General features: G+C 45.6%; 4 annotated features.

The window, feature by feature from the left end:
• Window positions 5,694–6,193: an enhancer, noted in NCBI's record as "H3K27ac hESC enhancer chr2:45267573-45268072 (GRCh37/hg19 assembly coordinates)". NCBI's record gives its function as "activates a minimal SCP1, AML or CMV promoter by ChIP-STARR-seq in naive H9 embryonic stem cells {active_cell/tissue: H9 hESC(naive)}" and the evidence as "EXISTENCE:reporter gene assay evidence [ECO:0000049][PMID:30033119]".
• Window positions 5,694–7,063: a biological region, named in NCBI's record as "CDK7 strongly-dependent group 2 enhancer GRCh37_chr2:45266703-45267902".
• Window positions 5,864–7,063: an enhancer, noted in NCBI's record as "CDK7 strongly-dependent group 2 enhancer chr2:45266703-45267902 (GRCh37/hg19 assembly coordinates)". NCBI's record gives its function as "activates an origin of replication core promoter dependent on BRD2, BRD4, P300/CBP, MED14 and CDK7 cofactors, with strong dependence on CDK7, by STARR-seq in HCT116 cells {active_cell/tissue: HCT116}" and the evidence as "EXISTENCE:reporter gene assay evidence [ECO:0000049][PMID:35650434]".
• Window positions 11,536–12,037: an enhancer, noted in NCBI's record as "NANOG hESC enhancer chr2:45261729-45262230 (GRCh37/hg19 assembly coordinates)". NCBI's record gives its function as "activates a minimal SCP1, AML or CMV promoter by ChIP-STARR-seq in naive H9 embryonic stem cells {active_cell/tissue: H9 hESC(naive)}" and the evidence as "EXISTENCE:reporter gene assay evidence [ECO:0000049][PMID:30033119]".

Raw genomic sequence — 12,445 nt, 5'->3', positions numbered from 1 at the left:
CCAAGAAGAGCTGGCCACTGCTACAGACATCAGTTTTGCTCAAATCATGTCTCCCCTGGCTATGGCCATTTCAAATGAAATATCCAAATGGCTTTTCACAGTATACAAGATGCCTCCTCAAATGGTCTACACAACTGTGGAAAGACAGGATAAAAGACTTGCCCAAGGATATTCAGGTGGGAAGTAGTAAAGGCAGGACTCAAGTTCAGGGCTTGAACCTAACAGCCTCCACATTCCTTAATGGCCTGTGCTTGTGGTAGACTATTCTCCCGTACCCTCCTCCTGAAACTTCTCCCTCCAGAAAGCAATTCTGGGTCAGCTGTGAGCAGACATGCAGGCTCTTCCTCCTCTTTCTCCTTCCCCCTGAGCTCCTCTCCTTCTACATCCCACAATGGCCTGAGTGGTCCACTCACACTGCTTATGGTTCTACTAACATTGAAGCTGATTACTTTTTTTCCACTTTTCTGACTGTATGATTGTTAGAGACTTAATGTTGGTGTCCTCCCTCCCAAATTTATATGCTGAAGTCCTAACCTCCATTGTGACAGCATTGAAGATGAGGCCTTTGGGAGGTAATTAGGATTAAATTAAGTCATGAGGGTGGGGCGGTCAATATGGGATTAGTTGCCTTGTAAGTAGAGAGAGAGAGATCACTCGCTGAGGAAAGTTTATGTAAACATGGCATTAGAAGGCAGCTGTCTGCAAACCAGGAAGGGAGTCCTTATCAGGAACCGAATCAGCTACACTTGATCTTGGACTCCTCAGCTTCCAGAACTGTCAGAAATAAATGCCTGTGGTTTAAGCCACATAGTCTATGGTATTTTGTTATGGTAGCTCTATCAGATTAAGACAATGATCTTGAGAAAGTCATTGATCCACTTACTCCTTTTTCTTTTTCTTTTTTTTTTTTTTTTTTACAAGAGAGGATAATATTAGTACCCACATTTAAGGCCGTTGAGAGGATTAACTGATATATGTTAGGAGCTTAGAATAGCACCTAGGACACAGAAAGCCTTTAATAAATGTTGGATTTGTTGTACTACTGTATATATTTGTATTTCTTATGCTATTGAATAAAAATTCTATTTATGCATACTATGACTTACACAAAAAGGATGTTCACAAATATTGGAGGAAGGAAAGAAGTAATGAAGAAAGGAAAAAGAATAAGGGAGGAGAGGAAGAAGGAAGGAAGAATGGAAGGAAGGACTTTGCAGTTGCTTCTAAATACAGAATAAAGGTTGATCTATAACTGTTGGCTTTTTTCTTTTAAAGTATCTCCGTATACATATCCAGAGAAAATTCAGGCATTGCAAAAAGGAGAAATTCATTGGTAATTTATGAAATTCACTTGAAGCTGCAAATGGAAAGGCTAGGATGGTGTCCCTTCTGTTGGTCAACACTGTACTAGTGTTGGAAAATCAGTACTCAGCCTTTTAAAATTCATTCTCACATCTAAAGCTGTAGTTACTCTTGATTACATCAATTGCCATTTTATTAGATTCTCCTGTCAGCATCCTGAGGGCCTGGCTTCTCTCACCCTCTGAATTGGCTGGGTATTAAGTTCACCGCTCAGTCTATCTTCTTTTTCTCTCCTTGTGATCTTCCTAGTGGAGACTGATGTTCTCACTTGTAAAATTCACAGCGCTTCCTCACATTAATATTAAGACTGCTTGGTTTGCTGATTTTCTTCCATCTTGCCCCTCTTTACACATCTCATGTCAGGAAACACTCTGGTGAGGGTGTGTATTGGGGAAAGGAAGATGTGACGTTGTGAGATGATGGAGATTCCGGACAACTAGAAGATTGTTTCTCTTGACCATTCCTGCATTTACTTGTGCTCTGGTTCCCAACATAGCAGCAAAAGACAGCCCTGGAGGATATCCCCAAACTGGACAGACCCAGCCTCAGAATGCCTGCCACACCTTCAATGCTGTTCTGACAGAAGTTACTTGTGTTATGCATAATCTTTAAGGAGCTATGGTTTTGCAATGAATGACCTGCCCTTTCCACATCTTGAGCCCTGGAATTGCTGATTGGACCAGAGGCAGACACCTAGATCAAGGGCAGTCAATCCCAAAGATGAGCTGTGCCCATCCTAGTCTCTTTCCAAGGCATTTGAACCAAGGTATGCCAAGTGAAGGATGTAATCACCAAAGAGGCTAAAACAGAACATTTGTAATGGATGAAGAAACCAGAGAAGCCATGATAATCTAGTAAAAGCCAAAGTTACATAGGAACAGAAATTATAAGTAAACAGAAGCTAGACTCAAAGAATTACCAGAAGGAGAATGGAAAAAACACACAAAAAGCAGCAGAAACATGGGGATACAAATAGACCAGGCCACCTATGGGAGAAAACTCTATGCCAGCTTCCTTGGTTCTACATCACATTCTGGTCTGGGCCATCCTCCCTTCTCCTGTAGTTACTTGAGTGAGTCTCTGTTTCTTACAACCAACAGAACCTAAGGTTCATCTTCCTGTTCCTCAGGCCTCTCCAGAGATTGGGAGCCAGGTCTAATGGGGACCCCCAAACCAGAAGCAGTGGCAGGGACCAGTTCAGCTCATCTCAATGCATTGCACTTGGAGTCTGGTATCCAAGTTAATCCAACAAGTGTGCAATTTGAGCACTTATCACTGTGAGACCCTGTGCAAGATTTGCAGAGGTAAAAAGTAAAGAAAGAGTAAGAAAGCCCTTGACTTCAAGGAGGGTATTATCTAAATAGGATGTAAGAAACACAACTAAGTCAGTACAAAGCTGAACAGATGTGTGTGTCAAAGAGGAGCAAACACAATGCTTTGAAGTTTCAGGGAAGTTGTGGTCGTGTTGGGATATGAGGTTCAGAAAAGACTGGTCAGATTTGCTGTGGATGCAAAGGAAAAATGTAGGAAATACTGAGGTTGAAGCTGGGTGTGGTGGTGCATGCCTATAGTCCCAGCTACTCGGCAGGCTGAAGCAGTAGGAGCATGTGAGCCCAGCCTCAGCAAATGGAAAGGAAAGAGAAAGGAAAGGAAGAAGAGAGAGTAAGGAAGGAAAGGAAGAAAGAAGAGACAGTAAGGAAGGAAGAAAGCAGAGAGGGAGGGACGGAGGGACAGAGGGAGGGAGGGAGGGAGGGAGGGAGGGAGGGAGGGAGGAAGGAAGGAAGGAAGGAAGATGCACAATTGCTTCTTTTCCTCCTACAGGTTTTATGAGACCAGAGGTAATTCCCTGCTGCTGTTCAGCGTTGCTGTGGCTAACAGTTCCAACCTTCTGAAGTGCCGGCTGGTTGGGGCTGTCTCTCTGGCAACTGATTAGCCCATAAACCCTGCCTTGCTGGTCCTGCAGCGTTCTCCAGTGCAAGTGACTGAAAGCATGCCTTTCCCAAAAAGGAAAATATGTAAGATTTAGTTCCCAAGTTATGTTTCATGTTTACAACGGTCTTCTCATCATCGTTAGTTGGATTAAATTTAGTGATTACAAAGATTTTTGTTTTTATCAATAATACCCTTGATCTTGAAAAACAAGAGCAATTTAAACAGACCCAGATGCTCTAAACTCCACCACATGTTTGTTGTATTTCTTTTAATCGCATTGTATTTGAGGCTGTCATTTAAATCAATTTAATATGAATGTTATTCCTATGGCCATGATTCCCTGGCTTCTCATACTAAAGCTTTGCTGGTTTTTGTTACTCAATTGCAGAACCTTCAAAGAAAAATGTTTAATATTAATTATTATGTTATCCTCCACTCTTGTGAAATAGGTATGTCCCCTTACCAAAAGCACTGTGGAAGCCAGAATGTAACGCCATGAAAAATTACCCTGGGACCACAGAGTCATCAGATTTTAAATCACTGCTGTCTATTCCTTTTCAGAAAGACTTTTTCCCCTTTAAAATGGATCATTTAGTTGCATTATTATCTCTACGATTATCAACAACTCTTTCTGTCAATGTCATTCAACTGAGACTTATTGAGTGTCCACTGAGTTTCTGTAAATGTTTCCTTCATCTGTAAATCAAAATAGCTCCAAGGACTTTGGTCATGGGACAGTGAATTCTGGGGGAGGAGAGGAGAGAGAAGTGGGGAAGGCAGGCATGAAACAATACAATCTCAGGGTGTGTGTATAAGGTAAAGAGAACAAGGCTTGCCATCAGGGGACATGAATTGAACCGTAATTTCAGAATCAATCAGTGACCTTGGGCATGTCATTTAACCACATTTGAATTTTAGTTTTCCAATGAAAGAAACATGTACCTAAAACCTCTGTGAGAAAACAGCCCTCTGGACTTGGTGGGTAACACTTAGATAGTTGCTGCCTCAACTGCAGACCTGCATGAAGCCGGCATTGCTTCCAGTCTGTGGCAGACAAAGCCTCCTCTGAAGACCTGAGGTTTTTCCTGGGGTCCTTCCAGCCTTGCATATTAAGGGAGAACTAAGGAGGGCTAAGCTGTGTAGGAGAGGCTACCTGGGTAGGGATGGTGATTTAGCGCCCACTCCCTGGAGAAAGCCCAGAGGAAGCTAAGAAGGAAAGCCAGCAAGTGCCTGCAGAGGTGGCCCAACCCTTTGGGACAAGAAGGGAGAAATAAATCTCTTCTTGGGACCCTCTGGGAATAAAACAGGTGGGCAGGAGGTCTCTGTTCTCTTGAAGCCAGCCTGGTTTTTACTCTTCTTCTACTCTTATTTTCTGGGTCCTCCCTTAAGATTTCCAGATTTTGAGAAATTCCAGCTGCCACATCTGAGCTAAAGGGAGATAAGACAAAGGGTTTGTGCCCAGTTGGACTGGGGCATTGAAAGCGCAGCCACAGGCTGGGTGCGGTGGGGCATGCCTGTAATCCCAGCACATTGGGAGGCCAAAGCGAGAGGATTGCTTGAGCCCAGGAGTTTGAGATCAGCCTGAGCAGCATAGTAAGATCCTGTCTCTACTCAAAAAAAAAAAAAAAAAGAAGCCAGGCACGGTAGCACACACCTGTAGTCCCAGCTACTCAGGAGGCTGCCATGGGAACATCATTTGAGGCCCAGAGTTCCAAGCTGCAATGAGCCATGATCGTGTCACTGCACTCCAGCCTGAGCAACAGAGCAAGACCCTGTCCCAGAAAAAGAGGAAAAAAAAGAATAAAATAGCAACCTCAGCTACTGGGCCTAAGAAGGTAGTGGGAGCCAAGGGGTGGCAGTGGGGTGGGTAGTGGCAAGCCCCAAGAATGACTAGCATTGACACACAAGGGCCATTTGGTCCCAGTTGTTTTTCCCACATCAAGAAAGCCCTTCCAGAGCTAAATCTACTTGGAGTTTTATTTTATTACCAGCAGCAAAATTCTCTGACACTATCTCCAAGTCTCATACCCCAGACACCTCAGTACCTGAAACCCCAGTGGACTAACAACCCCTGCCAAACACTCAGCTAGGAGCAAACATTCTGGACTCTTTCCAGCAGTGGCAAGGGGTTCCATGGAGCCAACCACACTCTCCCCCAGGTGAGAAATACTCTTCCAGGCCATTGACTGCATCCTCACTGCACATACTGGATGGCTAAAAAGGGTATGCAGTCTATGGCCTGGAAAGAACTTCTTCAGTTTGTATGCTCAAACATTGACCTCATCAGTTCAGACTCTGCTCCAATCCACAGAGCTGGCACACCCACATGACTCCCCTTTGTGATGTAAATAGCTGGATAATCCAGAAGGGACACCAAGCCTGGGACTCTGTTCTAGAAATTAATCTGCTGTCAGAGGTCAAGTGCCTTCCACTGCATGTCAAAAGGCCACTTAAAAAATCAGTCTAGCCCCCTTTATCATCTGTGTTTGTTATCAGTGTGCTACACCAAGCATGGTAAATGGGAGCTCCCAGTTCCAGGGAGCCTGCTTGCAACCCTTTAAACTCAAATAATAATATAACAGCAGCTAATCGTTTTGTTTTGTTTTGTTTTGTTTTTTTCAGAATGTAATGCATGCCAAGCATAGATTATCTCAGAAAATCCACACAATTAATCTATGCATTGGGGCTTATTTTCCTCATTTTGATAAGGAGACTGGGACTCAGAGAAAAAGTGATGTGCCCAAAGTCACACAGCTGGTGAGTGTGATGGCAAGATTCAAGTGCAGGCTTGGCCTCTTCAGCACTAAGCCATGCTTCAATTGTGGCTGGTATTGGTTAAGGTGATTGTAGTCACTAGTACTGGACACCAACAGCTGCTGGCTAAATAAATAAGAAACAATCCAGAAGGCAAGGAGAATGTTTTATATTTACTAGACGATTTCTAGAAGAACTATCAGAATGCAATAAAAAGCTGCACCCCAGGTGAAAAGGAAGCAGGGCAGTGAGGCCTGAGCAGCAGGATTTGTGGACTTTCCAGGGCACCTGGTGCCAACTTATGGCTTCAGTGAATCAAAGTTACAAAACTCCTGGGGAAAAAAAGACTATTCCAGCTTGATTTGGTGTACTCCCAAGGTCAGTGAGCTTGGCCAGCAGGTCATGGGCACGAGCGGAGACAAAGATTGTCAGGCCTCTGAGCCCAAGCCAAGCCATCACATCCCCTGTGACTTGCACGTATACATCCAGATGGCCTGAAGTAACTGAAGATCCACAAAAGAAGTAAAAATAGCCTTAACTGATGACACTCCACCAATGTGATTTGTTCCTGCCCCACCCTAACTGATTAATGTACTTTGTAATCTCCCCCACCCTTGAGAATGTACTGAGATCCACCCCTGCCTGCACAACATTGCTCTTAACTTCACCACCTATCCCAAAACCTATAAGAACTAATGATAATCCACCACCCTTTGCTAACTCTCTTTTCGGACTCGGCCCACCTGCACCCAGGTGAAATAAACAGCTATGTTGCTCACACAAAGCCTGTTTGCTGGTCTCTTCACACGGACGCGCATGAAATTTGGTGCCGTGACTCGGATCGGGGGACCTCCCTTAGGAGATCAATCCCCTGTCCTCCTGCTCTTTGCTCCGTGAGAAAGATCCACGTACGACCTCAGGTCCTCAGACCGACCAGCCCAAGAAACATCTCACCAATTTCAAATCCGGTAAGCGGCCTCTTTTTACTCTCTTCTCCAACTTCCCTCACTATCCCTCAACCTCTTCCTCCTTTCAATCTTGGCGCCACACTTCAATCTCTCCCTTCTCTTAATTTCAATTCCTTTCATTTTCTGGTAGAGACAAAGGAGACACGTTTTATCCTTGGACCCAAAACTCCGGCGCCGGTCACGGACTGGGAAGGCAGGCTTCCCTTGGTGTTTAATCATTGCAGGGACACCTAATTATTCAACCACGTTTCAAAGGTGTCAGACCATGCAGGGACGCCTGCCTTGGTCCTTCACCCTTAGTGGCAAGTCCTGCTTTTCTGGAGGAGGGGCAAGTACCCCAACCCCTTCTCTCCGTGTCTCTACCCCTTCTCTGCTTTTCTGGGGGAGGAGCAAGTACCCCTCAACCCCTTCTCCTTCACCCTTAGTGACAAGCCCCACTTTTCTAGGGGGCAAGAACCCCCAATCCCTTATTTCCACACCCCAACCTCTTATCTCTGTGCCCCAATCCCTTATTTCCACACCCCGACCTCTTATCTCTGTGCCCCAATCCCTTATTTCCACACCCCGACCTCTTATCTCTGTGCCTCAATCCCTTATCTCTGTGCCCCAACACCCCTTCCCGCTTTTCTGGAGGGTAAGAACCCTGAACCCCTTCCCTCCGTGTCTCTACACTCTTTTTTCTCTGGGTTTGCCTCCTTCACTATAGGCAACCTTCCACCCTCCATTCCTCCTTCTTCTCCCTTAGCCTGTGTCCTCAAGAACTTAAAACCTCTTCAACTCACACCTGACCTAAAACCTAAACACCTTATTTTCTTCTGCAACACCGCTTGGCCCCAATACAAACCTGACAATGGCTCTAAATGGCCAGAAAACGGCACTTTCGATTTCTCCATCCTACAAGACCTAAATAATTTTTGTCGAAAAATGGGCAAATGCCCTGAGGTGCCTTACGTCCAGGCATTTTTCACACTTCATTCCCTCCCTAGCCTTGTTCCCAATGCGATTCCTCCCAGATCCACCTTTCCCTGCTGCCTGTCCCCTCAGTCCCAACCCCAAGCGTCGCTGAGTTTTTCCAGTCTTCCTTTTCTACAGACCCATCTGACCTTTCCCCTCCTCCCCAGGCTGCTCGTCGCCAGGCCGAGCTAAGTCCCAATTCTTCCTCAGCCTCCGCTCCTCCACCCTATAATCCTTCTATCACCTCCCCTCCTCACACCCGGTCCGGCTTACAGTTTAGTTCCACAACTAGCTCTTCCCCACCTGCTCAGCAATTTACTCTTAAAAAGATGGCTAGAGTTAAAGGCATAGTCAAGGTTAAGGCTCCTTTTTCTTTATCCCAAGTCAGATAGCATTTAGGCTCTTTTTCATCAAATATAAAAATCCAGCCCAGTTCATGGCTCGTTTGGCAGCAACCCTGAGACGCTTTACAGCCCTAGACCCTAAAAGGTCTACAGGCCGTCTTATTCTCAATATACATTTTATTACCCAATCTGCTCCTGACATTAAATAAAACTCCTAAAATTAGAATATGGCCCTCAAACCCCACAACAGGACTTAATTAACCTCACCTTCAAGGTGTACAGTAATAGAAAAAAGTTGCAATTCCTTGCCTCCACTGTGAGACAAACCCCAGCCACATCTCCAGCACACAATAACTTCCAAACGCCTGAACCGCAGCGGCCAGGCATTCCTCCAGAACCTCCTCCCCCAGGAGCTTGCTACAAGTGCCAAAAATCTGGCCACCAAGCCAAGGAATGCCCGCAGCCCAGGATTCCTCCTAAGCCATGTCCCATCTGTGCGGGACCCCACTGAAAATCGGATTGTTCAACTCACCTGGTAGCCACTTCCAGAGCCCCTGGAACTCTGGCCCAAGGCTCTCTGACTCCTTCCCAGATCTTCTCAGCTTAGTGGCTGAACACTGACGCTGCCCGATCGCCTCGGAAGCCGCCTAGACCATCATGGATGCTGAGCTTCAGGTAACTCTCACAGTGGAAGGTAAGTCCGTCCTCTTCTTAATCAATATGGAGGCTACCCATCCACATTACCTTCTTTTCAAGGGCCTGTTTCCCTTGCCTCCATAACTGTTGTGGGTATTGACGGCCAGGCTTCTAAACCTCTTAAAACTCCCCAACTCTGGTGCCAACTCGGACAACACTATTTTATGCACTCTTTTTTAGTTATCCCCACCTGCCCAGTTCCCTTATTAGGCCGAGATATTTTAACCAAATTATCTGCTTCCTTGACTATTCCTGGACTACAGCCACATCTCATTGCCGCCCTTCTCCCCAACCCAAAGCCTCCTTCGCATCTTCCTCTCATATCCCCCCACCTTAACCCACAAGTATGGGACATCTCTACTCCTTCCCTGGCAACCGATCACATGCCCGTTACCATCCCATTAAAACCTAATCACCCTTACCCCTCTCAGTGCCAATATCCCATCCCACAGCATGCTTTAAAAGGATTAAAGCCTGTTATCACTCGCCTGCTACAGCATGGGCTTCTAAAACCTATAAACTCTCCTTACCATTCCCCCTTTTCACCTGTCCTAAAACCAGACAAGGCTTACAAGTTAGTTCAGAATCTGCGCCTTATCAACCAAATTGTTTTGCCTATCCACCCCATGGTGCCAAACCCATATACTCTCCTATCCTCAATACCTCTCTCTACTACCCATTATTCTGTTCTGGATCTCAAACATGCTTTCTTTACTATTCCTTTGCACCCTTCATCCCAGTCTCTCTTTGCTTTCACTTAGACTGACCCTGACACCCATTAGGCTCAGCAAATCACCTGGGCTGTACTGCCGCAAGGCTTCACAGACAGCCCCCATTACTTCAGTCAAGCCCAAATTTCAACCTCATCTGTTACCTATCTCGGCATAATTCTCATAAAAACACACGTGCTCTCCCTGCCGATCATGTCCGATTAATCTCCCAAACCTCAATCCCTTACAAAACAACAACTCCTTTCCTTCCTAGGCATGGTTAGTTCGGTCAGAATTCTTACACAAGAGCCAGGACCGCAACCTGCAGGCTTTCTGTCCAAACAACTTGACCTTACCGTTTTAGCCTAGCCCTCAAGTCTGCGTGCAGTGGCTGCCGCTGCTTTAATACTTTTAGAGGCCCTCAAAATCACAAACTATGCTCAACTCACTCTCTACATTTCTTATAACTTCCAAAATCTATTTTCTTCCTCATACCTGATGCATATACTTTCTGCTCCCTGGCTCCTTCAGCTGTACTCACTCTTTGTTAAGTCCCACAATTACCATTGTTCCTGGCCCGGACTTCAATCCAGCCTCCCACATTATTCCTGATACCACACCTGACCCCCATGACTGTATCTCTCTGATCCACCTGATATTCACCCCATTTCCCCATATTTCCTTCTTTCCTGTTCCTCACCTGATCACGCTTGATTTATTGATGGCAGTTCCAACAGGCCTAATCGCCACACACCAGCAAAGGCAGGCTATGCTATAGTACAAGCCACTAGCCCGCGTCTCAGAACCTCTCATTTCCTTTCCATCATGGAAATCTATCTTCAAGGAAATAACTTCTCAGTGTTCCATCTGCTATTCTACTACTCCTCAGGGATTATTCAGGCACCCTCCCTTCCCTACACATCAAGCTCGAGGATTTGCCCCCACCCAGGACTGGCAAATTAGCTTTACTCAACATGCCCTGAGTCAGGAAACTAAAATACCTCTTAGTCTAAATAGACACTTTCACTGAATAAGCAAAGGGCTTTCCTACAGGGTCTGAGAAGGCCACTGTAGTCATTTCTTCCCTTCTGTCAGACATAATTCCTCAGTTTAGCCTTCCCACCTCTATACAGTCCGATAACAGACCAGCCTTTATTAGTCAAATCAGCCAAGCAGTTTTTCAGGCTCTTAGTATTCAGTGAAACCTTTATATCCCTTACGGTCCTCCGTCTTCAAGAAAAGTAGAATGGACTAAAGGTCTTTTAAAAACACACCTCACCAAGCTCAGCCACCAACTTAAAAAGGACTGGACAATACTTTTACCACTTTCGCCTCTCAGAATTCAGGCCTGTCCTCAGACTGCTGCAAAGTATAGCCCATTTGAGCTCCTTTTTATTAGGCCCCAGTCTCATTCCAGACACCGGACCAATTTAGACTGTGCCCCAAAAAAACTTGTCATCCCTACTATTTTCTGTCTAGTCATACTCCTATTCACCATTCTCAACTACTCATACATGCCCTGCTCTTGTTTACACTGCCGGTTTACACTGTTTCTCCAAGCCATCACAGCTGATATCTCCTCGTGCTATCCCCAAACTGCCCCTCTTAACTCTTGAAGTAAATAAATAATCTTTGCTGGCAGGACTATACTGAATCTCCTTAGGCACTCTCTAATCAGATGTCCTAGGTCCTCCCAATTCTTAGACCTTTTATACCTGTTTTTCTCCTTATTCCATTTAGTTTTTCAATTCATACAAAACCATATCCAGGCCATCACCAATAATTCTACACAACAAATGTTTCTTCTAACAACCCCACAATATCACCCCTTACCACAAAATCTTCCTTCAGCTTAGTCTCTCCCACCTTAGGTTCCCACGCCACCCCTAATCTTGCTTGAAGCAGCCCTGAGAAACATCGCTCATTCTCTCTCCATACCACCCCCCAAAAATTTTCACCGCCCCAAGACTTCAACACTATTTTGTTTTATTTTTCTTATTAATATAAGAAGGCAGGAATGTCAGGCCTCTGAGCCCAAGCCAAGCCATCGCATCCCCTGTGACTTGCACGTATACATCCAGATGGCCTGAAGTAACTGAAGATCCACAAAAGAAGTAAAAATAGCCTTAACTAATGACACCCCACCATTGTGATTTGTTCCTGCCCCACCCTAACTGATCAATGTACTTTGTAATCTCCCCCACCCTTAAGAAGGTTTTTTGTAATTCTCCCCACCCTTGAGAATGTACTTTGTGAGATCCACCCCTGCCCGCAAAACATTGCTCTTAACTTCACCGCCTGTCCCAAAACCTATAAGAACTAATGTAATCCACCACCCTTTGCTGACTCTCTTTTCGGACTCGGCCCACCTGCACCCAGGTGAAATAAACAGCCATGTTGCTCACACAAAGCCTGTTTGGTGGTCTCTTCACATGGACGCGCATGAAAAAGATACCAAGAAGGGGCAAGGGAATAAGTTTCTAGAGAAGGGGATCATTGAGCCGGGAGGCTGCTTCCCTGCCTCTGAGAAAAGGTCCACAGTGATATCAGGAAGGGCCAGCCAGAGGAGCCGTGAAATCCTCCCCACGTGGATTCAGAAAACACATGGAAAGCTTCCCTGACTCCTGGCTGGCATTGGGGACCTCATCCACGCTTAACAGGTAGGTTCCCTCAGCCTGCAGCCCTCTCTTCACCTTGACAAGCCTGCCTTGTCTGTGCCTTTACT

This window comes from Homo sapiens, chromosome 2, assembly GCF_000001405.40.
Source record: "Homo sapiens chromosome 2, GRCh38.p14 Primary Assembly".
Lineage (NCBI taxonomy): Eukaryota > Metazoa > Chordata > Mammalia > Primates > Hominidae > Homo > Homo sapiens.
The sequence above is the reverse complement of the archived record's forward strand: the minus strand, read 5'-3'. Positions and strand labels throughout refer to the sequence as shown.